The sequence below is a fragment of the Homo sapiens genome, chromosome 18, assembly GCF_000001405.40.
Source record: "Homo sapiens chromosome 18, GRCh38.p14 Primary Assembly".
In the NCBI taxonomy this organism is placed as follows: Eukaryota; Metazoa; Chordata; class Mammalia; order Primates; family Hominidae; genus Homo; species Homo sapiens.
Window position 1 is genome coordinate 35,235,389 of NC_000018.10, and position 27,871 is coordinate 35,263,259.

Sequence of the window (27,871 nt, forward strand, 5' to 3'; positions counted from 1 at the left end):
ATGGTACACGTAGACATTTACACATAATTGTTTAATGGATGGATCAGAATCCACATCTGTCTGACCCTAAAGCCTGTACTCTGTCTACCATATCACAGTTTCCTAAACTAATTGATACTAAGAATCATCTGGGGTAATTGCTAAAAAATAGATAAAACCCCCTCCCCAGGTGTTCTGATTGAAGGCCTAGAAATGTTTATTTTTAATAATGACCCTAAATTGTTCTTATCATTGGGCATATCCAAACCTGCAGAAATATTCCTTCTTCTAGCCTCCGCATTCTCCCCACTGACTCAATACCTCCTCCCACAAATAACAATACACATCCACTGACTCAATATCTCCTCCCACAAATAATAATACACATTTATTGTGCACTGTTCTAAATGTATTGATTCACTTGATGCTTACAACAACGTTATGAGGTAGACACAATAATTATCCTTATTTTTCAGAAGAAGAAACTGAGGTATACAGAGTTTAAGAAACTTGTACAAGGTCACAGAGCTAAGAATTAAGAGAGCAGAGATTTGAACCAGGCTTTCTCCAGAACCTGAACTTTTAATCATTATATTATTCTGTCCATACTCACTTGCCCCTTCCTCCCCAAGGTGCTAGCCCCAAAAGTTCCCTTTGGATAATCATTTCCATAACCGGTAATGAAAGTCAATTTATTGTCTCTGTATACTTGATTACAATTTCAAACTGGTAGATTATAAATAAAGGAAGTTCCACAAGAAGGTATTCAACTAGATATTTTAAATATAAGAAGTAGCCATTTATAAGAAAAGTATTACCTGCAGCAGTATAATCCCAGTCATAAAAACATAATGTGTAAAATAATATATATAAAATAACTTTTAAAAGCTACACATATCCAAAAAGATAAGCAAATTATATTGTACCACCTGAAAGATATTTAAAAATAAAAGTATATTTGGCATTTAGGGGGCTTTAAGGTAATTTGGGGGAATATATAAATTAGTTATTCATTTACCACTATGTTGCCAAGCAAGATTAAAAGAAATAAATTTCTTATTAGACACTGTCAAACAGAAACCCAATGAGTATTCAATAAATTCACTGTATATCAAGAATTCAATTAAAATCTAAATCTCCTTTTAATAATGATAGCTACAACAAAATAATTTAGGCAAATAATACAAGCTCAAGGCAACCAGATTAGATTATTAAACATATCCACAGATTAGATTTTTAAACATATCCACCTTATCACATATAATAGGTGTAATGAAATGGGGTGAGTGTCTTTTATCACTTAATTCCTACAGCTTTTTTTTAATGCTTTCTCTCCAAATGCTCAAGGTTCCTACCCACAAAACTATGAGAACATGTGTTTTTCTTTTTATTACTCATACGCCATGCTTTTAGGCATTGCCTTTTTTTAAAAAAAGTTCTTAGAATGTATCTATGTATCATGGTTGAATTATCCCTAAGACAGAACAGAATCCCAGTGGAAGATCTTTCTGAAGTGGCTGACAGAATTAAGAGTTGGGGTGGGACCCTGTCAAATGATTTATCATTGTGATTAACCTGAAAAAAATAAAACAATAATAACAGCCTACCTGAAGCTTTAACTCTGTTCTATACATGATAAATACAAGAATGAATGTCAGGAGAAACCTCAAAGGCTTTCTTTGACATTAGCAGCAAACAGAAACAACAGTAACAGAAACAACAGTAACTAAGGCCTTTGTTTACTGTTTTGGATACTACAAATAAGCACTGTCATGCTCTGTTAATACATCCTATTATCTGTCTCTAAAAAATACAACTGCTAAATTAGTGACATCATAGAAGAGCCATAGAATACATTGTGAGTAATAAAAAACTCTTTTTGTAAAGGCAATGGCCTCTGTGTCTGTCATCTTACCATAACTGATAAAAACAAATCCTGGGTTCATATTAAAATAGTCTAAGCATATTATTAAAAATGTTCCTACCTGTATACTCCGTTTCTTTGAATGCTTCAAATACTGTCACTAGTTTTTGCATCAATACTTCCTCTTGTATATATGTATTATATATTCATTCATTTATTCATCAAAATATCTACACAATGCTAGGCCATACAGGAGAGACAACAATGGAAGACAAAATCCTTCCCCTCATGGAATTTATACTCTAGGAATTACAGTGATGAGTGAGGTGAAAGGGTATATATTTTACTTCATTTGAATCCCTACTTTTCTTCTCAGTGTTTCACATATACAAATATTTCATAACATTTGCTGAATGAGAAAATGATTTGGCCAGGCGTGGTGTCTCATGTCTGTAATCCTAGTACTTTGGGAGGCTGAGATGGGAGGATCACTTGAGCCCAGGAGTTTAAGACCATCCTGGGCAATATATTGAGACCTCGTCTCTATGAAAAAAAATGTTTTCTATAAAAAATAAAAATAAAAGAAAATGATTCCTTTCCTTTGTGCATCAGAAGCCATTTTCTCTATCCTTTATTATTGAATGGTTGTTTATAGTTAAGAGACTTTCAATGGGCTTATCTCACTTGATAAATATCATAAAGTAGACCAATGTTGTATGATACAGTAATTCAAGCAGTTGGACTTCACTGAATGAGCAACCTTACTCACTAATCACTGGTAATGCCTGGAGCTGACATTATTTCACACCTGTCATACATATCATTAAAAAAACAGAAACAAAAATCAAGAACATCTGAAGGAGGAGAAAAAAATTATACTTCTCTACCCTTGATTCAATAATTTTGCAAATATTTTCACATTAAAGCAGACTGGATATATGTGAAACTGGGGATGGGGGAAGATAGAGGGAATGATTTCAAGGGCATTGATATAACCGATAGCACTGAAAGTTAAATAAGTCATGGAAATTGTTGGCTAAGGTCCTTAAGGGGCTCTAAGGAGGCCCTAAGGCCCTACAGTCCTATGGGGTAATCAGTTGCTCTCTCAGTGGGAACTTAAACTATGTCCCAGAAACTGGCTCTAGATCTCTAATCTACATCTCTTGCAAGTAAGTAATTACTAATATTTTATATTTTAAACATAGGTAACATCTTATAAGGAAGGACAGGAGTCTGGATTTTTTCTCAGTGTCTCACTTTCTTACCTATACAAGGGAATCAGATTACCTATCAAAGCAGATATTACTGTTGCAAATTCAACATTCATCTATTTATCTCCCTTTTCTGCCTTTTTAACACAGCCCTAATTTCATGCATTCTCCCCAGAGTGTCTGTGTCCTTTAGGAGAGGCTGGCCTTCTCCTTAGCCCTGGGATATAAATTTCAATTGTCCTAATCCCACCATGGAGGCCTTACCTCCCTTGTTAGTGATAGACATAAGCACTCAAAGCAATTTCAGTTAATAAGACATGATGGAGAAATCTATCAGGGAAAAAGAGTTTCCTTAATCGTATAAAGGGGCAAAAGATAAAGGTGTTCCCCTTTTTGGTCTCTGAACATTATCTGTAATCTGGAACTGAGGAAATCATTTTAGGACCATAAAGGAAGCCAGACTGGAGAACAACACACTTAAAGATGGCAGAGCCAAAAGAAGGAAGAAACCTGTGTCCTTGACAATATTGTCCAGATGCAGAAGTAACCAACCCTGGGAATGATTTTATCTCCATGCATCTAGCTATTAGGATTTGTTTTTAAAAGGCTTGAACAATAAGGACATTTAGTAAGGTTCCTGTTACTGCAGCCAAAAGCATTTCAACTGATATGCCTTCTCTCTTTCAATAGTTTCACTCTTACATAGTAGGTTTCTCAATATAACAAGGTGTGTTAGGTTGGATGCAAAGATAACTGCCAAAATTTCCTCCTATGATCAAGCTGCTTAATGTCTATTTCCCTTTTCCACCATTCTAGTCCTTCTGTCATGGAATACTGCAGAAAAATATAATGCCAGTTCCAGACTCAGGCTTTAAGAGAATTAGCATCTTTCCTCCTCCTTAACTCTCTTGGAAGCCAGTCACCATGTAAGAAAGCTTAGGCTAAACTCCTGAATGGAGAGAGGCCTTGTGGAGAAGAATCAAGTAACTTCAACCAAGAGGCAACACCAAGACTTCAGCAATTTGAGTGAAGCCATCTTGGACCTTCCACCCCAGTTAAGTGAAGATAGCTGACACATCATAAAGCAGACTAGCCATCTCCGCTAAGCCCTTCCTGAATTCCTGGCAACAGAACTGTGAGCAATAAAACATCTGCTGTTTTTAGTCACTAAGTCTTGAAGTGGTTCATTATGAAGCAATTGATAATTTATAAACAAATTAATATTATTTGGTTTTTTGCTTTGTAAAATTGCTGTAGTCATTTCACAATGATAAAATTATTTAGTGAGTCACTAATAGCTTTGAATGCTAACGAACATTTTTCTCAAATATGTGTTTTAAGTCTTGGCTCACAAAGGAGAATTTGTTTCTATGTATGTATGTATCGCTTTGTTATTATCCTGTGTACTTTTTTAATATAACATTTTAAAAATATGTAACATTTAAACATGTAAAATGTAACGTTTTAAAAATAAATACAAATAAATGGGAAACGATTTGCAACAAACGAGTTGCTATCCTTAATAAGCAAAAAATTCTCACAAATAAAAAAGAAAAATCTTACTCCCTTAATTTTTTAAATGGGAAAAGCCATCTCTGAAGAACCATAAATGGTCAGTAAACATGAAGGGGGACTATCTTAAGCTCACAAAGTTGAAACATGAGGCATCATTTTTCACCGACTAAATAGCCAAAGAAAAATTTAAACAGTGAGACAATACCAGCAAGCTTCCACTGAAGAACGGGAAGACCCTAAGATAGGCTCCAGGAGTCTACGATACCAGTCTCCTTGAACTATGGGGACGTGGACGTCCCTGGTCACAAGTTGCCTGACTTTGGGCGATGTCTACGGCTGTAAATTTGGGATTATATAGCCACAGCACAGAACTGTTGTAAGGCTCCAGTGATACTCATAGGCAAAAGCAATATAAGTGACTGTTAGTTTTTGTTCAGCCTATTCATCCTTACATTTACTTTTGTCGGAAAAGAACTGGAATCACAGGAAAATCTGAGGTTTTTTTTTTTTTTTTTTTTTTGAGACAGAGTCTCGCTCTGTCGCCCAGGCTGGAGTGCAGCACATCTCAGTTCACTGCAAGCTCCGCCTCCCGGGTTCACGCCATTCTCCTGCCTCAGCCTCCCGAGTAGCTGGAACTACAGGCGCCCGCCAACATGCCCAGCTAAATTTTTGTATTTTTAGTAGAGACGGGGTTTCACCGTGTTAGCCAGGATGGTCTCTATCTCCTGACCTCGTGATCCGCCCGCCTCGGCCACCGCGCCCGGCCGAAAATCTGAATATTTTAATGGAAAACTGGGAGTGAGATTCGGGAATTACTTGAGACCAACAATGATGGGTGGTGCCAGGAGAAAGCCAGGGTGGGAACGGCCCAGGCGAGATGCGGGACCCTCCAGGTGCCGCCGCTCACAAGGACCCCTGACTCCTAGCGCACCCTCCCCTGGCCTTGGAGATTCCGCCGGGCTAGCGGCTACCGGGAGAAGGCGGTGGAAACTGTAGAGCCCGCGGCTCTGATTGGCTACCTCAGAGCAAGGGGCGGGGCGGCGGAGGACCCGAAGGGCGCGAGAGCGGAACACTGCGTACGCGCACTTCCGGTCTTTGTGGCTTGCAGCTCGGGGTGGGTGGCTCATTTCCTGGCCGCTCCTGGGCTTCGCGGTGAGGGACGTGGGCCCCTAGGAAGAGGGAGGTGGGGTTGGGAGCGCGCGCCGGACAGTGGAGGAGCTCCGCTCCTCGGCCTGCCCATCCCCAGGTCGCGGCCCTTTGGCCCGCGCGGCGTCTCCAAGCGACTGGGGAACTCAGAGGAGGCCAGCACTCAAACTCCTGCTTTCCAAAGGAAAACGCAGTTCCGCTGACCCCGTGACTTCGTAAATGCTGCGGTTTAACCAAGGATATAAAAATAGAAGGGCTAGTTAGTTAGTTAGTTAGTGCGGCCGGACTGGTTAAACCTTAAATTTGTAGGCTAAATATTTTAATTCATCTCTTAACGTTAACCGTAGTGTGAGGAATGAATTTTACTCATCTGTCCTGACAAACTAAGGGCATACATTCCTATCGATATCTCGCCATCCTAAAAGCAGGTCAAGTTTGGTCTGTGTCACAACATTTAATACCTATTTGTTACCATATTTTGCTTTTGAACATTTTTAGTCTTGGGATATTCTAAGCTTTTTCAGAACTGATACGGATCTCTTTGCTGCTTTTGTGTATGTGATACCTATCATGTTTTTGAACACATGGTAAGCATTTTACAGATACGTCTTGGTTCTTGGTCAATTCCTCTGTAGACTCGTTTATTCATAAGCAAAAATCTTAATGCTCAGTAAGTGCCTCAGTGTTTGTTGAAGTAATTCGGTAAACACCAAATGCGATCAAATGACAAATATCCAATATTTACATCAACTCATGTTTAATGTGAACTTTTAAAAAAACGTTATTACTGCCTTAAATGAAAATCAACATTACTTGCTTTAGATAGAAAGTAAGTAAAAATAAATGTTTAAAATCAGTATTACTAAATTCTGCCTAAATATTTTTACTCTTGGAAGTCTGATTCTGAAGCCTGTATTTTATTTAAAAGAGAGTTCTACAAGTTTTATTAATACATACATGTTAAAGATAGACTTTTCTCCTTGATACAATCAGAATTGAAAGAATTGGAAAGGAAATTTTCTCACTATGTGATTGATGTTAATGTTGCATTCACATTCTTAGGCTTCTAAAATAGTTTTTTCTAACATTAGTGGTAGGAATTCTTCATAATGGGAGACACTAATTGAGGTTAATGATTTTTAGTTTATCATCACATTATTGTTTTATTTAGTGATAGCCCCAAATCTACTCCCTTTCAATATATTACTAAAGTTACTCATCTTTCTTATTACAAGTACTTAGAGATTTTATTGATTGCTGTAAGTTAACTGCTTTTATATCCTTCAGGAAAGAAGAGATTACTCACACTCCTTCGCAAGCACAGAACCAGTTGTACTGAGCTTTTTGCTAAGCTGTTTCAGCCAAGAATGGCTGTGGAATCTGGAGTGATTTCAACCCTGATACCTCAGGATCCTCCGGAACAAGAACTAATACTAGTGAAAGTAGAAGATAACTTTTCCTGGGATGAGAAATTTAAGCAGAATGGGAGTACTCAATCCTGCCAAGAATTGTTTCGTCAGCAATTCAGAAAATTTTGCTACCAGGAGACACCTGGGCCCCGGGAGGCTCTGAGCCGACTCCAGGAACTTTGCTATCAGTGGCTAATGCCAGAGTTGCACACAAAGGAGCAGATCTTAGAACTGCTGGTACTGGAGCAGTTCCTGAGCATTCTGCCTGAGGAGCTGCAGATCTGGGTTCAGCAACATAATCCAGAAAGCGGCGAGGAAGCTGTGACCCTGTTGGAGGATTTAGAGAGGGAGTTTGATGACCCAGGGCAGCAGGTGGGAACGGAGAAAAGTGATGTGGGAAAAGGAATTTACAGCCTGGAGCATGTAATGGTATCATAACAGTAGGATAAAAATTTTTATGTCTCTACTGAACCCTAACCTGAAGTGACTAATAGAGCCATACTTGTCTATACCCTTGAATGGTCTTTTTCCCCTGTCCTTCATCCCTGGAGATGTCATCATTGACCTCTTTGAGATTTTTACTAAGCAAGTTTTCTTAGGGATTTTCTCACAAAGCTAACCATATTTTACTGATTTCAGGTCCCAGCTAGTCCACAGGGACCAGCAGTGCCATGGAAGGATTTAACATGTCTCAGAGCATCCCAAGAGTCAACAGACATCCACCTCCAGCCCTTAAAGACACAGCTGAAATCCTGGAAACCATGCCTTTCCCCTAAAAGTGGTGAGGAATGGGAAATCATCTGGAAACTCTTGACACTTAGGCCTCTGTTTTTGAGAATGCAGAATTAATTGCACTTGACAAACTTGCCACATGTGAGCATCACCTTTATTATTCTAAACCAGAGGTGCTCGCTTTAGCGGCTTTGTATTCACCCCTCATGAATTGCTGTCAGCCCTCCTGTGTGAGTTTCCCTGTTATTCATTCATTCATTTCATTATGTTGTAACTTTATAAAGCGTCAATACATGTCTGGTACTGTGGTAGGCCCCAGGAGAGGTTTCAGGTCTAGGTGGGTGATGGACAAATAAAAAGGCAGTTGCAATGTAGTAAATTATAGAATATAAGTAGGCAGTGGGTACTGTTGGAGCACATCTAAAGGCACCTAACCCAATCTTAGAGGATCAAGGAACACTTCCTGAAGGAAGAAAATCTAAGCTAAGACTTGAACTATGAGTAAGAGAAAGCCAGGTAAATAGGTGGGAGGAGGAGTAGCCCAAGTAAAGGCCATACCATCCCGAAGGTGTGAGAATATAACCCATTCTGAAAATTGCAGGTAGTTTAATTTGACTTGAATGGAGAATTGACAGGTGGTAAGAGAAGAACCAGAGAGGAAAATAGGATCCAAGTCATGAAGACCTGTATGTCATGTTAATTTGTTTGTATAGTTTCTTAAGTGCAGTGGGATGCAGTTGAAGGATTTTGGACAAGGAGTGACATAGTTTGATTTGCAGTTTAGAAGTTAGCTGCAAATGGAGAATCATGTAAGGAAGGCAAGAGTATAGTCCTATTAAAGACTGCTGTAATCCAAGTGGCCACAGTGTATTCAATCAATATGTGTTATGGTAAGCGGTGGAGAACATAAAAGCTGACTCCTGTTCAACAGCATTTAAGTTGTTTTGCAACATCTGGTAATTATTAAAACTAGAGTGTGAGGGAGAGGAGTTGAGGATGATACTGAGGTTTCAGTCTTCAACAGTCTGGTTAATGGTAGTACTGTTCATGTGAATGAGAAAACATAAGGAAAAACAGATACATCTGATGATGTGTTTAGGTTGGTACATTTGGTGCTTGTGAAATATTCAAAAGTAAAATGCCCAATTAGCATAAGACTCTAGAGCTTAATAAAATATGGATATAATTGGGGATCTGGGCAGACATTAGTCAGACAATAGCTTACAATGTAAGATGTAATGGAAGCCAAGGGTAGAGAGTTTGTAGAGTAAGGATACATGAGAGCCCAAAACAGAATCTGGAGGAACGCTCGTGTTTGAGTGATTTACCCTAGAATCTAAGAAGGAACAGCCACAGAAATCAGGCTAATATCACTGGAAGAGAATGTCTCTAGAAGGAAGGTGTGATCCTCAGTGTCAATGCTACAGAGAGGCTAAGTAATAATCTAGAAAGTACTTAGTGGATTAAAGAGCTATGAAGTGATCTTGATGAGAGTAGTATCAGTGGAAGTAGGGGACGGGGCGGTGGGGGGCGGGGGAGGACAGTAAGGCAGAAACCAGATTGTGGAATGAGGATACTTTCACTTGAAAGGCTGCAGACAACTCTTTCAAGAAATCACTATGAGAGAGTGAGGTTGCGAAACCACTTGAGAGAGAGTGAGGTTGCTTGAGGGAGATATGTAGGCAAGAAGGTTGATTTTAAAAGGTGAGAGACACTTAAGCTTATTTAAAAGCTGATGAACAGGAATCAGTTGAGAAAGAGATTGTAAATAGTAGAAAAAAATTGTAGGTAATTTATCAGTTGATGTCTCAAAAGAGGCAGGAAAGGATGGAATTCGAAGTGTAGATGTAGACTTTATTATTAGATAAGAGAGACCCTCTTTTGGCCAGTTGAAAAAAAAGATACTGGAGGACAGTGACATCTTTGTAGGTAGAAGCTTCTGTTTTCTCTCATGTAGAAAGTTTTGACGGTGACAAGAGAAATGTAATATCTGTTTTTTTGCTACTTATTGTTTCAGATTGTGAGAACAGTGAAACAGCAACAAAAGAGGGCATCTCAGAAGAAAAATCACAGGGACTCCCTCAGGAACCTTCATTTCGAGGAATTAGTGAGCATGAAAGCAATTTAGTGTGGAAGCAAGGAAGTGCTACAGGGGAGAAACTAAGATCTCCTTCCCAAGGGGGCAGTTTTAGTCAAGTGATCTTCACAAACAAATCTCTAGGAAAGAGAGACCTTTATGATGAGGCTGAAAGATGCTTGATTCTAACTACAGACTCTATAATGTGTCAGAAAGTTCCTCCAGAAGAGAGACCTTATAGATGTGATGTATGTGGGCACAGCTTCAAGCAGCATTCCTCTCTAACACAACATCAGAGAATCCATACTGGAGAAAAGCCCTATAAATGTAACCAGTGTGGGAAGGCCTTTAGTTTGAGGTCCTATCTTATTATTCATCAGAGAATTCATAGTGGTGAGAAAGCATATGAATGTAGTGAATGTGGGAAAGCTTTCAATCAGAGCTCAGCCCTCATTAGACATCGGAAAATCCATACTGGTGAGAAAGCTTGTAAATGTAATGAGTGTGGCAAAGCATTCAGTCAAAGTTCATATCTCATTATACATCAAAGAATTCACACTGGTGAGAAACCTTATGAGTGTAATGAATGTGGGAAAACCTTTAGCCAGAGCTCAAAACTCATTAGACATCAGCGAATTCACACAGGAGAGAGACCCTATGAATGTAATGAATGTGGAAAAGCTTTCAGGCAGAGCTCAGAGCTGATTACTCATCAGAGAATACATAGTGGAGAGAAACCCTATGAATGTAGTGAATGTGGAAAAGCTTTCAGTTTGAGCTCAAACCTTATCAGACATCAGAGAATTCATAGTGGGGAGGAACCTTATCAGTGTAATGAATGTGGCAAAACTTTCAAAAGGAGCTCAGCCCTTGTTCAGCATCAGAGAATTCATTCTGGGGATGAAGCTTATATATGTAATGAATGTGGGAAGGCTTTCAGGCACAGATCGGTCCTTATGCGCCATCAAAGAGTCCACACTATAAAGTAATTTGTGAATACTGTGAATAGTGTAAATACTTCAGTCAGATTTTTAAGTTTGTTAGTCAAAAGAGTTTACTTTGGAGCAAAACTCCATAAAGGTTATAAAATACTAGGTCTTGAGTCTAGCTTGCTTTGTGCAGCATTTCCCAGTGCTAATGTAAAGTGTCCCTTGAAAGCTTTTCCTGTGACTAATCAGAACAGAATACAGAAGAATCATTACTTCCAGCTCTTCTCTTATTAGGAATACTCAGGAAATACGAAAAGTGGGAATGTAACATTGAAACCTCATTTTGTATGAAAGTGTCATGAATATAGCAACCCAGGCTCTGTCACTGCATCTGATTGTTAGTGTGCCAGGTTATGGGGCTGGTGTGGACTGTGTGAGGCACTTCGTCTCAGGAACTAAAAAAAAAAAAAAAACTGACCCAATAAAGAACAGTGACAGAGCAGCAGGAAAGGTGGGGAAATGGCTTCATCAATGATTTGTTGAGCCCAGGGCAGGCCAGGAATTAGATAGGCATGAGAAGAAAGAATATAATTTACCCAAAGGTTATTTTTTGAGTACCTACTTTGTCCCAGGAACTAGGAATACAGTGGAAAACAAGACTGTAGTCTCTACAGTCTAATGGGCAAGGCAGCCAGACAGGCAGTGAAAGTGGAATGCTCCTATGTGACCTTAAGGAGCACCTGACTCAGCCTTGGATAAGGAAATGGGGGAAATGGCCTGAAGGATGAGGAGGAGTTAGCCAAGGTGGTACTCTAGGGAAGTGGTACCCCAGTAAAGAACAGTAGCCAAAGGCCAGAAACAAAGTGTGGAGCATTCCTTGAGTTCCTGTTGTAGTGAGGTCTTGTCTGTCAGAGAAGTCTGGGTCTGGCCAGACTCTTAAGCAGTGCCAATGGAGAAGTTCCTGTTAATAGACAAAACCTGGAGCCCTTGGGCCACAGGGTAGTCAAGAGCTTTGTCTTGGTTTATGTGACCCCAGGGAAAGGGCAAATATGTGGTTTCCTTGCCCAACCTGTAGGCTATCCTAGAACTTCCATGAGGGTGGTGGTGGGAATGAGGGTGAGAAAGAGCCCAGCCTATACCTCAAGAGTCTGCTAGAGTGTTAAGACTCTATTCTCCTTTGATTCTAAAGACAATATCAGAGCTGCTGTCAGGTTTCTTAAAATTCCCAACGCTCTGGATCAGAAGCTGCCATATCATTTGTTTCTGGGGCTATACGCCCACAATTCCTAGTACATTCCCTTGGGCTTTGGTGCTCAAAAAATATTTGTCAGTTGCTGGGTCTGTGACATTCTTTGGGCACCTCGCACATGTTCAGTTTTGTCTTATGTCACCAGTATTTCACAATATCTTTTGCAATTTTTTTTTTTTTTTTTTTTTTTTTGAGATGGAGTTCGCTCTTGTCCAGGCTGGAGTGCAATGGCACGATCTTGGCTCACCGCAAACTCTGCCTCCTGGGTTCAAGCGATTCTCCTGCCTCAGCCTTCTGAGTAGCTGGGATTACAGGCATGCACCACCACAGCTGGCTAATTTTGTATTTTTAGGAAAGACAGGGTTTCTCCATGTTGGTCAGGCTGGTCTCGAATTCTCGATCTCAGGTGATCCGCCCGCCTCGGCCCCCCAAAGTGCTGGGATTACAGGCGTGAGCCATGGCGCCCAACCATCTTTTGCAAATTTTATTAAAGACAATGCTAAAAGGAAGTGACAACTGAAACTAATGGTCACAGTCAGTCAAGACTTCCCTTTTCTGAGGGGCCTAGCAGGAAGAGAATATTTAGACTGATGCTTAGTGTAAGAAGGAATGTTGTACAGGTTAACCAGCAACACAAAGACATATTCAAAAGACCTAATAGGTCAGAAGAATAACATACCACACCAAAAACAAATCTGTATGGAAATCTAGAATCATGTGCATAGAAAAAGAATTTTCATGAGGATAAAAAGAAGCAAAGAGAAGTAATGCTCTTATTGGGGCGTGCATCAGTGGACATGTGCTAACCAGTAAGAACAGCAGGAGGCCTAAATGCCCATGTTTAGGGAGAGAATATGGAAAAAATGGATGGGATTATTTGGAAAAGATGTAAGAGATTAAAATACGTGGTAAGAGCTACTCAACTCTTGTTTTTCTCCTTTTCCATAGATAAAGACCTGAACAAACTGAAAAGGTAGGACGTAAAGTAGGAATTGTAAAACGGAAATACTCTTTATATAAGAAAGCTCTACTGTATGTCAGAAAGCAATGTAATAGATAGACCAAGCACAGTGGCTCACACCTATAATGCCAGCACTTTGGGAGGCCAAGGCTGGAGGATTGCTTGAGTCTAGGAGTTCAAGCCGAGCCTGGGCAGCATAGTGAGACCCCATCTCTACAAAAAATAAACAGAATTTGCCAGACGTGGTAGTGCATGCCTGTAGACCCAAGTATTTGGGAGGCTGAGGTGAGAGGTTCGCTTGAGCCCTGGAAGTCGAGGCTTCAGTGAGGCAAGATCACACCACTGCACTCCAGCCTGGGAGAGCAAGACCCTGTCTCCAAACCAAAAAAAAAGGAAAAAAGTAAATGTAATAGATACTTGCTAAGGGCTTTGTATATACTTATTATTGTTATTTCTCAGCACGTATGTAGCAGATGAGGAAATGAAGGCTAAAGGTCATATATCTACAAAGTGGGGAGGTCAGACTTTGAACCCACAACCTGACTGTGGAGCCACTTCAGTATACTCTCTCCCCATAAGAAAGTTCCAATAGAAAAAAAATGCTACTTAAGTAGGGAAATCACAAAATAAGTGCCAATGAACAATAAATGTTCAACCTCACTACAGTTAAAATGTATATTAAAGCAAGAGTTGAGATGACACTTTTCCTTATAAAACAGACAGGGATTCAGGGACATTGGGACTCTAATGCTGCTGGTAAGACATGAATAAATACATACCATCTCTGGCAATCAATACCAGAAGCTTTAAGCATTGCCTTTTGACTTTGAAATTGTACCTGGAAATGTATGTTTCAGTAACCATCATGAATGTACACAAAATCCTGAAACTCTTAAAACTGATGTCACAGGCCAGGCACAGTGGCTCATGCCTGTAATCCCAGCACTTTGGGAGGCTGAGGCGGGTGGATCACCTGAGATCAGGAGTTCGAGACCAGCCTGACCAATATGGTGAAACCCCGTCTCTACTAAAAATACAAAACAATTAGCTGGTGTGGTGGCATGTGCCTGTAGTCCCAGCTACTTGGGAGGCTGAGACAGGAGAATTGCATGAACCCGGGAGGTGGAGGTTGCAGTGAGCCGAGATTGTACCACTGTATTCCAGCCTGGGTGACAGAGTGAGACTGTGTCTCAAAAAAAAAAAAAAAAAAAAAAAAAACACTGATGTCAATTAATATTAAATGAAGTATTCATGATATATTGTTAAGTAAAAATATTACAAAACAATATGTACAGTATGATCCTATGTAAAATATATATTTATGTATTAAAAATACTGAAAACATAAAGTGCTATACTGGTTATGTGTGGGTGCTGAGGTTGTAGGTGATGTAATTTTTTTCTTGTGCTTTTTTGTGTTTTCCAAATTTTTCTATAGTAAACCTCTAATACTCTTAAAATTAGGGGGCAAGAGTGAATGGAATCCCAGGATGCTTGAGAAAATATTTTAAAAGCACTTGCTTTTCATAGCATCTCTTGTCTCTTCCAAGTTTCAGGAAATTAGCTAACTTGTTAACTCTGATCCCTTCATCACTGGTAAAATGACAATGGTAAACATAACCATCTCACACCTAGTATATTAAAAAGTCTACAAAGTATAAATCTGGGTGCAAAAGGAATTCTTGCCTGAAAGATTTACAGTTGAGAAAAGCAATAGCTTTGAAGTGGAGATCTTTGATTATTAGAGTTTTTCCATGTATTCCATAGCCATAAGCAAGTCATCTTCCAACTCTAGACCCTCACTTAAAGGAGCTGATGTAGATGATCTCTTATGGTCAAAACTTCAACATTCCACTTTTTATGAAATGGAAGGGGCACCAATATAGGGTGGATGTCAAAGGAAATTTTTTCGTCTTCACCACTCTTGCTTGGAAGAAAAGTAATTCATGCCTTTCCCTTCTGCTCAGGGCTGTCCTGTTTCTCTTGGTATAGAAGCAGTCCAGGGAATAATAATGTCTACCTTAAATGAGTCTTAAACAGATTTTAAAAGATAATGTGCAATTTAGTGTACTTAACTTTGATTTCCTGCCTTTCCCCTTCCCTCATTTCCATAGCCTGCAACTAATACATCCAGCTGAAAGGATTGGAAATTTAAAGCAAATCTGACCCTCATCTCTCCAAGCTCATTGAAGACCTGCTGAGGGAGGAGGTGGTCATGGCAGGTCCACAGGTCTAAGCTTGGTCCTTCTCAGCAATTAGTGTTGAAGATTCCAGTCTGGTGCATACAGCCACCTCCACTAAAGGGAAGAGAGAGTCCTAATTCTGGTGAACACAGGACGTGTTTGTGTTTAAGAGGCTCCTTCTTGCTCTCATTCCCATTGTCTTCCAACAACAACTAAATCTCAGATGCCCCCTCACTTTGGTTAACTGCAGCCCCAGAGACTGTCTCTTTTAGTTTCCCGACACTTTTTGGCTCAGAAAATAGAAACTGAGAACACCAGTTCCCTATCTTCTTCCCACAACCTCTTCCCCATCGTCCTAGCATTATCTCTGTTCATGTTATTGTGTTCCGTATTCCTGAATGAATAATTTCAAAGCAAACTTTTAAAACTCAAGTTTTATTGCAATACATCTTGCATTACATTCTAATAATAAACGGTTGAAGTATAAATTTTGAAATTAGTTACCAAAAATCATTTACTAAACAGTAGTTTTACTAAAAATACTAGGATTGGGAAAAATAAACACTAATAGAAAGTACTCCAAAATGTTAACAACGTTTCTATGGGCATTGGGATTGGGGGTGGTTTATACTTTCTCATTTTCTGTATTACCAACACTTACAATTCACAATCAGGAGAAAAACCTATTATATGATACTTAAAACATTAAATCTCTGATTGTCACCTATAGGAAAAGGCAACTCACTATCCATTTGAAAGATCCCTTTAGACTTCTGATCGACCTCACTCGATAACTGCACAACCTCTGGACACAAAGAGGCCGAATTGTCCCCCCAATTTCACCTCCCCTATTACCCACAACAGCAGTGATATGGTTTGGCTCTTGTGTCCCCACCCAAATCTCCAATAGTAATCCCCAGGTGTTGAGGGAGGGTCGTGGTGGGAGGTGATTAGATCATGGGAGCAGATTTCCCCCTTGTTCTCATGATAGTGAATTCTCATGAGATTTGGCTGATTGATAAGTGCCTAGCATTTCCCCTGCACTCTCTCTTGCCACCTTGTGAAGAAGGTGCTTGCTTCCCCTTCGCCTTCCACCATGATTTAAGTTTCCTGAGGCCTCCCCAGCCCTGCAGAACTGTCAGTCAATTAAACCTCTTTTTTTTTTTTAATAAATTACCCAGTATCAGGTAGTATCTTCATAGCACTGTGAAAATGGACTAATACAAGCAGTGATCACCAAGTCTTCTTTAGAAATGACACTACCTAGGATATCTTAGAAGAGGAATCAAACTTTCTTTTAGGTATTAATTGCCCTCAGCAATTGTGGGTTAATTAAAACTGCCAAAATAAAAATTAGCAGAGAGAGTTACAGGCAGAGGTTATAGCCCATACAATGGCATGAAGATAAGATAGGATCTGGAGACAGCCCATCATCAGGACTCTTCTCTCCAGCAGGAATTAGTTGTCATAAAGCCTGGCTCAGAATCCCCATGTGTTGCTTTTCCTCTTCCTACTTATAATCACTGAGTTGGGGAGCCTATTCTAGACCCAGAATGACCTGTGAGACTCTGAAGTACTCAGAATTAGTGTGGTGAGAGACTGGTGCATTTTATGGGAAAAGGCATGTATATACACAGGGAAAGAATGCATATCAGAGGCTAGAGAGACAGTGGGGACTGGAGTGTTTGTGTCCCATGACTCTGGGACTCAGGCAGTGGGAAGTATAAAGGAACACGGTGATCTGCCTTCCCAGGCTCTGCTATTCCCCATTCCCTGCCCACACCCCTCCTTACCAGGCTTGCAGGCCCTGAGCTATTATACTTGAGGGCAATAAATATTTGTTGAATTACTCCTTCAGATTCATTTTTTTAAAAATTAGGTCTATGACAATTTCTGCAGTAGAGAAGAGTCTTCATGGAGTGTCTCCAGATCCTGTTCTCTTCTCCCCTGCCCTTGCTACCTTCTACCCACCTTTATGTCTGAGATACCATCATATCCAGGAAGTCTTTAGTGACTCATAGACCAGATTTAGGTATCCCTGCCATGTACTTTGATGGAAACCCGCATTTTTCCTACCAAAGCACTTACCACACTTTACTGTAATTACTGTTTAGTATATATGCATATCCTATTAGCCCTTAACTCTGGGAGGGCAATGACCAGGTCTACCTCAATGCCTAGCACATAGCAGGTGCTCAATAAACTAGTAGACTTGAATTAACCTCAGCAGGAAGCTCAGGATTGAGGAGACAACTGGCAAGGGGGCAGAATGAGGCACCATTCCTCAGGTACTATTTTACTGCCTCAGATATTATTAAACTAATAGCATAATTCAATATTTTCACAACCTCCAAATTCAACATTTCAGATAGTTGAATAACTCTCAGCACATGCCTCCACCTGACAAAATACAAATGCTCTTGCCAGGCACATTTGCCATCTTATAAGAAGCTCTTTCAGGATCTCTGCCCCAATCCTGGCATTACTGTGAAGGTGCCCAATGGAAATTATATCTGAGTTGGCAGAGAGTGGAGTGAAGGGGATATTGATGAGTCTCATCCAGAAATGGGTTAGGCATTTCAAGGAAATATCTACCATTCTTTTTGGAGAAGACTTGGGTAACATTTTTCTTCCATTTAACACTTCAATAATCATAACAAACATCTTTGTGTGCATGTCTTCTTATAGTACCGAACTGGGAGGGAAGGACAGAAGTTCTGCTCTCAGGAAACTTTTCTTTTCTGTGGAGTCTCACCCCTACAGTGAACTCCTTGCATTTCACAATTGTACAACTCTTACCCACAGAGTTAAACTCTGGTGTGTGTTCTCTGATGCTGCATAAGGCCTGACCTATGCCTAAATGTTTTTCTACATTCACTACATTCATAAGGCTTCTCTCCAGTGTGAATTCTCTGGTGCTGGGTGAGGGCTGAGCTCTGATTGAAGGATTTTCCACATTCATTACATTCATAAGGTTTCTCTCCAGTGTGAATTCTTTGATGTTCAATAAGGATAGAACTCCTACCAAAAGCCTTACCACATGCAATACATTCATAGCTTTTATCTCCAGTGTGAATTTTCTTATGCTGAATAAGGGCTGAGCTCCGGCTGAAGGCCTTCCCACATTCTCCACATTCATAAGGCTTCTCTCCAGTGTGGATTCTCCGATGCCTGATGAGCTCTGAACTGCCCCTGAAGGCTTTTCCACATTCACAACATTCATAGGGTTTTTCACCACTATGAATTCTCTGATGTCTAACAAGGTCTGAGCTCAAACTGAAGGCTTTGCCACATTCTTTACATGCATAAGGTCTCTCTCCAGTATGAATTCTCTGATGTCTAATCAGCTTTGAGCTCTGGCAAAAGGCCTTCCCACAGTCAAAGCACTCATAGAGCTTTTCCCTAGTGTCAACGCTCTGTTGTGTAATATCATTTGAATTCATACTGAAACTTCCTTCACTCTCATGAGATTCAAGGACACTGTGTTCTGTGGGGATTCTTCTGTTGAAGGTTGCCAGACTGAAATGTCTGTCCTGGGAAGGAAGCTGACTGATTTTGTTCCCTGCAGCATTTCCCTTTTGCTTCTTAGAGTTGTCCAGACCTCCCAAAGCTTCTTCAGCTATCCGTTGGGAATGTGTTTCTCCAGGAAGTTTTCCCGGCGATATCATAGCTGCTGAGGCTACACATTCAACAATTTCTTGCTTTGCCATCAACACTTTGCCAGCCACCATCCTGCCATCTAAAAATGTGAATAGAAAGTGTAAGTATCATTTACTTCCCATGACAGAAGAAACTGTTGTAGCAGGAACACAAACTCAATGAAATAGGTATTTATTTATTAGGAGGACAGTTCTCAAAACTAGATTCCCAATCTAGAATTCAGAGAAGTGGCCTGGGGTAGCCAAATATGGCCCCCTTGGAGAGTAAGGTAGACAAAGAAATGAATTAGTATTGGAGAAGAGGGATGGTGAACAAGGAAAGACATTAGTTAGAGGGAATGGTGACAAACAGGAATATTGGCGATAAACCAGGAAGCTAGGAGACAATCTTGGGTTAGAGAAGATACGTTTTTAGGTAATGAGATAATCAGGAAAAAAAAGTTAAAAGGAATGATCAGGATAAAGAAAGATATCTAAGAGTCTTAAATCTGTGGTCTTCTATCAATATAGGAGAGCAGAAGATATGATTAGGAAATGCTTTGGGAGTTAGCACTGAACAGAGGTAGCTGGGCAGCAACTAGAAAGCATTAAGGCAATTTCAGATTCTGATAGGTTCCAAATGAATTAAATAATTATAAGCAAATAGAATAAGACACAGACCCAGAGAAAAGAAATACAGGTTCCTGACTCATTCTCAGGTCAGGTGGGAATTTTTTTTAACTTTAAAAAAAATTTTGCACTTAAATCATCCATGGAATACAAAAGAATCTTATAGTTTTACTTTTTAAAATGTATAAGTATCAAAGAAGGGGATGGAGACAACTCCTTCTTTGAGCATTTATACCTAAAAACATGACTGCCCAGAGCCAGACCTTCTGGCTCTCACAAAACATGCCCCATCTCTAGTAGTCTCCTGTTATGAGTTACTGGAAATCTCTCTAGATAACTACAGTAACTCATAACAGAAGGCTACTAGAGATGGGGCATATTATGTCAGCCATCTACTAGTTATATCTAGAGATTTCTAGTAACTAGAAATGGCTGATATAACTTGAATTATTTTATTCTGAAAAATACATCTTCCCAAAAGCCCTCTAAATGTATATGCATTTTACATATCAGGAAACTGAGGCTCAGAGAAGCTAAGTCTGGCCATAGAAGTAATAATTGCTAAGAGTTAGGATTCAAATAAACATTCTTAACATCAAAACTTGTAATCTTTATGCTATCTGCCTTCCATATTGGAAGGATGCAGGGCTGTAGTTGCACTGAAACAAAATATAACTTAAAAATCATTTAAATTTGGCTTTGGAAAAGCATTATGCTTTTATATAAAAATGAATACCTATTTCTGATATTAAGTTCACAACACTTCAAACACAACAATAAAGCACCACAATTGATACCTGATCAAAGCAGAGGGTTGTCTGGCTTCCCGTTTTCCCCATTCCTTACCAGAAATTAAACACAGATGACATCACCTCTAAAATTCATATTGTCCTTGGATTTTAGATAGAAATTTAAATTATTCATTGTTTCATTCAAAAAGAAAACATTTATGAAAAATATACTTGCATACAATAGAGGCATAAAAATTAAAAGTACCAAATAGGTTAAAGTCAGAGACCCAACAACCTAATGAGAAATTTTCTGAAAGTAATAAATAGGTCAAATTATTAAGAGCATCAATTATAGGGTATAAAGTGGCAATATAATTGTGTAGGGACAAAATTAAGGGCAATGAAAATTAGAAAAGCAATGTAACTTATGGGATTTAAATACGTCTTCAAATTCTGTAACTATATGAAGTCAAATTATGAGACTAGAGAAAAATTTTGTCCTCAGATGTATACATCAGGAAGACATCAAGATTTTTATTTGTTCAACTATACATTTATTATTATATTTAAAAAGTTGGAATAAATAGCTAACTAGAGTAATTCTTAGAAAAGACAAATAGAGATTACAAGTAGAGACTGGGCACGGTGGCTCACACCTGTAATCCCAGCACTTTTGGAGGCTGAGGCAGGCAGATCGCTTGAGGCCAGGGGAGTTCAAAACCAACTTGGCCAACATGGCAAAACCCCATCTCTACTAAAAGTATAAAAAATTAGCCAGGCATGGTGGTGCACGCCTGTAATACCAGCTACTCGGGAGGATGAGGCACGAGAATCACTTGAACCAGGGACGTGGAGGTTGCAGTGAACCAAGATCACACCACTGCATGACAGAACAAGACTGTCTCAAAAAGAAAAAAAAAAAGATTACAATAAGAAATGGTCACTTGATTATTCAGAAATACTTGCATAGAGAGAACCCAATTACTATCTCCCAAGAATGAAAACTAATTTGTAATCAGGCTCAAGTCTGGAGGCTGGAGGGTGGGGTACAGATTTATAAGAGGCTCTTTGGAGGAGAAATAAGGCACAGGTATCTCTGTTAGAAGAGCTCTTCTGTTTTTGTTGTTGTTGTTGTTGTTTGTTTGTTTTTGAAACAGAGTCTTGCTCTGTCACTCAGGCTGGAGTTCAGTGGTACAATTATCAGCCACTGCAGCCTTGAAATCCTGGACTCAAGGGATCCTCCCACCTCAGTCTCCCCAGTAACTAAGAGTACAGGTGCGCATCATTGCATCCAGTTAATTAAAAAATTTTTTTTGTAGACACGGGGTCTTGCCATGTTGCCCAGACTGGTCTTGAACTCCTGGTCTCAAGCAATCCTCCTGCCTCAGCCTCCCAAAGTGATGGAACTACAGGCACGAGCCACCACACCCAGCTAGCTTTTCTCTTTAACACACCTCCTGCTTTTCTTACTTGTTCTCTGGGGTGGCTCCTCAGTGAGTTCTGCCAGCTCAGCAGTTCAGTGAGCAATTCCATCCTGTTTAGTTTAAAATCCTTTTAACTAGGGATGTGGCCTTCAATTGCATATTGACGAGTATGCTTTTAGCCTTAATGCTATGTCAGTGATGCTCCACTGCCCACCCAGTTCCCCTTTACCAATATGATGCCTCCTTCCCTCAGCCACTGTGAATGTTGGCTCCTCCAATGATGTGAATGTCTGTGTCTCCCCAAAATTCATATGTTGAAGTCCTAACCCCCAAGGTGATGGTATTAGGAAGTGCGGACCTTTGGAAGGTGACTAGGTCATGAGGGCTTAGTGATCTTATAAAATAGGCCCTATGGTGCTCATTTGCCCCTTCCACCACGTGAGGACACAGTGAAAAGGTGCCATCCATGAGAAAGTGGGACCTTACCAAATACAAAATCTGCTAGCACCTTGAACTTCTCAGCCTCCAGAACTGTGAGAAGTAAATCCGTGTTGTTTACAAGCCACTCAGTTGATGGTATTTTGTTATAGCAGTCCTAACCGATTAAGACAGCTCCTAACTATACAGAGATGCCTCCTTCTGTGGAGAATTACCCAGGCTGATGAGAGCCACTTGGCCCAGGAAGTAACTTCCACCTTCATTGCCCCATCTCTGCGTCAAGAAGAGACAACTCTGCAGTGCAATTATGCTTCAGCGGCCCATGAAATGCTCCAAGGATTAGACCAAGCCTAGACTGTAACTGAGACCACATCATTGCTTGCTCTTTTCCCTTCCTAATCCTGCTTCTCTCTCTCCATTACAGATTTTTCCTGAAGAACACATCGTCAATAAATCACCTGCACCCAAATCTCCATCTCAGGCGCTACTTCTGGCAAGGCATATCATGAGGCTAGTGAAGCACCTACAAGAAACTTATAACTCAAGGTTGTAAAAATGGCATGGTGACTCTTACAATCATATCACAGTGGGCCTCTCCAACAATTTAAACCTCATGACCTAGGTGAAAGCTGTGAAAGGATCCACATTAATTCTTCAGAGGCAGGGCTAAGACTTTCAAGACTGAAAAGAGACTAGCATAAGGAGACTTAACAGGAACCCAGTCAAGGCCATTCATGGCCATGGGACCACGCATAAATGGAGAACGAGTAAATTTTGCTAAGTCCAAGGACATTGGAGAGATAGAGTCACTATTACTGATATGGTGACTGAGTCAACAACATACTGCCACTATGAAGTAATAAGAAAATAAAAAGTTAAAAAATGTAACAGATAACAGTTGGAGGGTGAATATATTTTAAATCAATCAGATTCTCATTAGAGTATTTTATTTTGTCTTGATCCCCAAACTTCAGATGAATGTGGAGAAACTGAAGCATGTCCAGAGAAAAGTGGCAAGATATCCAAACAGACAGAACACAGATGGGATCAGAGGGAGTGAGAGGCTTAGTTAAAACAAGGTCAGGAGGCTGGGCACGGTGGCTCATGCCTGTAATTCCAGCACTTTGGGAGGCCGAGGCGGGTGGATAACAAGGTCAGGAGTTTGAGAACAGCCTGGCCAATATGGTGAAACCCCATCTCTACTAAAAATACAAAAATTAGCCAGGCGTGGTGGCGGGTGCCTGTAGTCCCAGCTACTCGGGAGGCTGAGGCAGGAGAATCACTTGAACCCAGGAGTTGGAGGTTGTAGTGAGCCAAGATCACACCACTGCACTCTAGCTTGGGCGACAGAGCCAGACTCCATCTCAAAAAAAAAAAAAAAAAAAAAAAAAAAAAAAAGGTCAAAGTGCAGTGTACTCACTGCATTCAAGTATAGATTGTGTTTTATGAGGACTCTGTAAACTAAAGAAAGTGGATTATGAATAAATTAAAGTTGGGAGTATTTCATATGGACATAAGGAAGAATTTTAATATAGTATGTTTACTAGGGTTTCCACAACAAAATACCACAGAATGGGTGGTAAACAACAGAAATCTCTTTTCTCACAATTCTAGAGACTAGAAGTCCAAGATCAATGTGTCAGCAGGTTTGGTTTCTTCTCTCTCCTTGGCTTGCAGATGATGGCCACCTTCTTTTCTTGTTGTTGTTGAGATAGTCTCACTCTGTCATCCAGGCTGGAGTGCAGTGGCGCAATCTTAGCTCACTGCAACCTCCACCTTCTGGGCTCAGGTGACCCTCCTGTCTCAGCCTCCCAAGTAGCTGGGGCTATAGGCATGCACCACCATCCCTGGCTAATTTTTGTATTTTTAGTAAAGACAGGGTTTCACAGTGGTCTTGAACTCCTGACCTCAAGTAATCTGCCTGCCTCAACCTCTTAAAGCGCTGGCATTACAGGCATAAGCCACTGCACCCGGCCACAGATGGCCACTTTCTTGCTAGGTCCTCACAAGATCATCCCTTGGTCTGTGTTGTGTCCTAATCTCCTCTTCTTTTAAGGACATCAATTATTTTGGATTAAGGCCAACCCTAATGACCCCATTTTAACCTTTATAAAGGCCCTATCTCTAAAAAAATGCAGTCATACTCTAAGGTTCTGGCTGGGGGTTACAGCTTCAACATATGAATTTTGAAGGGACACAACTCATCCCATAACAAATAACAATATGAAAAGCCCAAGAAACACTTACCACAGTCTCTGTTCCTTAAGATTTTAAAAAAAGAAAGTAAAAATAGTCTACCTAAATGATTTCGTCATTTACCTGATTTAAGGCAGGGGACCTGATGAGATGAATTTTCTTTTTTAAAAGTTTAATTTAAGTTCCAGGATGCATGTGCAGGACATGCAGGTTTGTTACGTAGGTAAATGTGTGCCATGGTGGTTTGCTGCACCTATCAACCCATCACCTAGGTATTAAGCCCCACATGCATTAGCTATTTATCCTGATGCTTTCTCTCCCACCCCCACAGGCCCCAGTGTGTGTTGTTCCTCTCTCTGTTTCTATGTGTTCTCATTGTTCAGCTCCCACTTATAAGTGAGAACACGTGGTGTTTGGTTTTCTGTTCCTGTGTTAGTTTGCTGAGGATAATGGCTTCAGGCTCCATCTATGTCCCTGCAAAGGACATGAACTCATTCCTGCTTATGGCTGTATAGTATTCGATGGTGTATACATACCACATTTTCTTTATCCACTCTATCACTGGTAGGCATTTGAGTTGAATCCATGTCTTTGCTATTGTGAGTAGTACTGCAATGAACATATGCATGCATATATCTTTATAATAGGATAATTTATATTCCTTTCAGTATATACCCAGTAATGGGATTGCTGGGTCAAGTGGTATTTCTGGTTCTAGGTCTTTGAGGAATCACCACACTGTCTTCCACAATGGTTGAACTAATTTACATTCCCACCAACACTGTAAAAGTGTTCCTACTCCTCCACAGCATTGCCAGCATCTGTTGTTTCTCGACTTTTTAATAATCGCCATTCTGACTGCCATGAGATTGTTTCTCATTGTGGTCTTGATTTGCATTTCTCTAATGATCAGTGATGTTGAGCTATTTTTTATATATTTTTTGGTGCATAAATGTCTTCTTTTGAGGTCTCTGTTCATGTCCTTTGCCCACTTTTTAATGGGGTTGTTTTTTTCTTGTAAATTTGTTTAAGTTTCTTGTAGATCCTGGATATTAGACCTTTGTCAGATGGATAGATTGCAAAAATTTTCTCCCATTCTGTACATTGTCTGTTCACTCTTATAATAGGTTCTTTTGCTGTGCAAAAGCTCTTTAATTACGTCCCATTTGTCAATTTTTGCTTCTATTGCAATTGCTTTTGACATTTTCATCATGAAATCTTTGCCCATGCCTATGTCCTGAATGGTATTACCTAGATTTTTTTACTAGGGATTTTATAGTTTTGGGTTTTACATTTAAGTCTTTAGTCCATGTTGAGTTTATTTTTGTACAAGGTGTAAAGGAGGGATCCAGTTTCAGTTTTCTGCATATGGCTAGCCAGTTTTCCCAGCACCATTTATCAAATAGGTAATCCTTTCCCCATTGCTTGTTTGTGTCAGGTTTGTCAAATATCAAGTGGTTGTAGATGTGCAGTCTTATTTCTCAGATCTCTATTCTGTTCCATTGGTCTATGTGTCTGTTTTTGTACCAGTACCATGCTGTTTGGGTTATAGTAGCCTTGTAGTACAGATTGAAGGCAGGTGGCATGATGCCTCCAGCTTTGTTCTTTTTGCTTAGGATTGTCTTGGCTATAAGGGCTCTTTTTTTTGTACCATATGAATTTTAAAGTATTTTTTTCTAATTCTGTGAAGAATGTCAATGGTAGTTTAATGGGAATAACACTGAATCTATAAATTACTTTGGGCAGTATGGCCATTTTCATGATATTAATTCTTCCTATCCATAAGCATGGAATGTTTCTCCATTTGTTTGTGTCCTCTCTGATTTCCTTGAGCAGTGGTTTGTAGTTCTCCTTGAAGAGGCCCTTCACCTCCCTTGTTAGCTGTATTCCTAGGTATTTTATTCTCTTTGTAGCAATTGTGAATGGGAGTTAATCATGTTTGGCTCTCTGGTTGTCTTATTGTTGTTCAGGTGTGCAGTACAGACACAGAGATATAGGAATCTCTGTATATAGGAATGCTTATGATTTTTGCACATTAATTTTGTATCCTGAGACTTTGCTGTAGTTGCTTCTTGGCTTAAGAAGCTTTGGGGCTGAGACGATAGGGTTTTCTAGACATGGGATCATATTATCTGCAAATAGAGACAGCTTGATTTCCTTGAGATGAATTTTCAAAACCCGTTTTAATGTAGCACCTGCTTGGTGCAGAAGATACTTAAGAGGGCCTGCTTGGCTAATGGTAGTATCAGGGTATGATGCCTGGGGAAGGTTGGGAAGCAGTTTCCCAGAAGAATTCAGTGGATGGATGGTATGGATTCCTTTGGTGAACTGCCGAGGTCCAGGGTCTGGCCTTTGGGCTTAGGTCCTCATATACCTAATTTTATCATCATACAAAAAATAGATTTATCTCTTGGGGTAGACTCTTAATAACTAAGCCCGTGAAACTCAGTAATAAAAACAGAATGAGAATTAATGAGTAATGTAACCATCACATGGACCAGACTGAACAAATGCAATTTTCTTATTACAGCTAAGCTTCATAGGAAGTTAATAAGATTGCTTGGTGAAGACAAAATCAGAAGGGTAGTCAGATTTAACAAAAGATTAATGAGAACAAGCTGGTATACCTGATATATCTGCTGCCCATAAGGATGATTTTGCCAATAACATAATCAAAGTCCTTTCAGTTCTAATCCCTGGCATCTGTGACAGCTATCAATTTATTGCCTCAGTTTCAAATCTACGCTTCATTGCCCTGTCTGTGATACTGGACTATTTGCCAGCTGGCATGCTGTGAGCTTTATCAATAGAGGGGGTTGCAGAGGAACTGGAAGAAAGGGCTTTTCTTCCTGGTTCTGGCATGTTCTTTGTGTTTGTTTCTGTAGCACATGGGACACCCAGCAGTGCACATCCCAATGAGTTCCAAAGGCCCCATCCCTATGGGTAGCTTCCCAGCAAGTTCTGTACCAGGTCAGCTCCCCATGGGGAGCTTCTAGCACCCCAGAGTGTGGCTCCTCAGTGAGTTCTGCCAGCTCAGCACTGCAGTGGCATCTCCATCCAGTGGGCTGTGGCTGTGCCCTCTCCAACAAGGCCTGGATCTAAGACCTGGCAGGAAAGGGGAAGTTGTGGCACCCTCCTGCAAATTTGTTCTTACCTTTGATGTTCTGCCTCAGCCCTAGAGACACTCTATATCTGTTATTGCTGTATTCTTTTGAGTTTCACTTTTTGTTATAACACTTAGTAGTTAATAATTCTTAACATTAAACTTTCCCTGTTCAAATGATTATGTGGTTTCTATTACTGAAAATGTATTCATCTCCATCTTAGGGACTGTCTTGCCAATGAAGCCAAAATTAAATAACAGAATACTGAGCTTTGAATATTATGGATATTTAGCCAGGCATGGTGGTGTACAACTGTAGTCCTAGCTACTCTGGAGGCTGAGGCAGGAGGATCACTTTAACCCAGGGGTTCAAGGCTGCTGCAGTGAGCTGTGGTTGCACCACTGCACTCCAACCTGGGTGATAGAGTGAGACCCCATCTAAAAAAAAAAAAAAGAA

General features: G+C 40.1%; 2 protein-coding genes across 18 annotated transcripts in view, besides 4 other annotated features; one reads left to right on the plus strand and one right to left on the minus strand.

Annotated features, from left to right (window-relative positions):
• Positions 5,328 to 5,437: an enhancer, noted in NCBI's record as "active region_13221". NCBI's record gives its function as "activates an Ori minimal core promoter by ATAC-STARR-seq in GM12878 lymphoblastoid cells {active_cell/tissue: GM12878}" and the evidence as "EXISTENCE:reporter gene assay evidence [ECO:0000049][PMID:35858748]".
• Positions 5,328 to 5,908: a biological region, named in NCBI's record as "NANOG-H3K27ac-H3K4me1 hESC enhancer GRCh37_chr18:32820735-32821260".
• Positions 5,383 to 5,908: an enhancer, noted in NCBI's record as "NANOG-H3K27ac-H3K4me1 hESC enhancer chr18:32820735-32821260 (GRCh37/hg19 assembly coordinates)". NCBI's record gives its function as "activates a minimal SCP1, AML or CMV promoter by ChIP-STARR-seq in naive H9 embryonic stem cells {active_cell/tissue: H9 hESC(naive)}" and the evidence as "EXISTENCE:reporter gene assay evidence [ECO:0000049][PMID:30033119]".
• On the plus strand, positions 5,646 to 23,839 carry ZNF397 (zinc finger protein 397). Of its 10 annotated transcripts, NM_032347.3 has the most exons (6): positions 5,646 to 5,721; positions 7,003 to 7,496; positions 7,764 to 7,905; positions 9,874 to 9,963; positions 18,844 to 19,014; positions 22,540 to 23,839. In NM_032347.3, exons 2-6 carry the CDS (start codon positions 7,083 to 7,085, stop codon positions 22,548 to 22,550), a joined length of 828 nt encoding a protein of 275 aa, NP_115723.1. In that variant the 5' UTR covers positions 5,646 to 5,721; positions 7,003 to 7,082; the 3' UTR covers positions 22,551 to 23,839. The 10 variants fall into 10 exon arrangements, with proteins under 10 accessions (NP_115723.1, XP_011524531.1, XP_047293844.1 ...); XM_011526229.3 differs by lacking the exons at positions 18,844 to 19,014; positions 22,540 to 23,839 and adding an exon at positions 6,214 to 6,302 and having other exon boundaries at positions 7,003 to 7,553; positions 9,874 to 14,420; XM_047437888.1 differs by lacking the exons at positions 18,844 to 19,014; positions 22,540 to 23,839 and adding an exon at positions 6,214 to 6,302 and having other exon boundaries at positions 9,874 to 14,420.
• Positions 5,698 to 5,827: a silencer, noted in NCBI's record as "silent region_9395". NCBI's record gives its function as "represses an Ori minimal core promoter by ATAC-STARR-seq in GM12878 lymphoblastoid cells {active_cell/tissue: GM12878}" and the evidence as "EXISTENCE:reporter gene assay evidence [ECO:0000049][PMID:35858748]".
• ZSCAN30 (zinc finger and SCAN domain containing 30) overlaps positions 15,674 to 27,871 on the minus strand; it is a 39,168-nt gene continuing 26,970 nt past the window's right edge. For 6 of the 8 annotated variants that reach the window (NM_001288711.2, XM_005258183.5, XM_047437267.1 and 3 more), the window contains one exon: positions 15,674 to 18,993. In NM_001288711.2, the coding sequence (NP_001275640.1) occupies positions 18,062 to 18,985 (924 nt within the window). In that variant the 5' untranslated portion in view covers positions 18,986 to 18,993 and the 3' untranslated portion in view covers positions 15,674 to 18,061. Of the gene's footprint in view, positions 18,994 to 23,639; positions 27,853 to 27,871 lie in introns of those variants that run through there. The other 2 variants (XM_011525789.4, XM_047437268.1) reach the window with 2 other exon arrangements.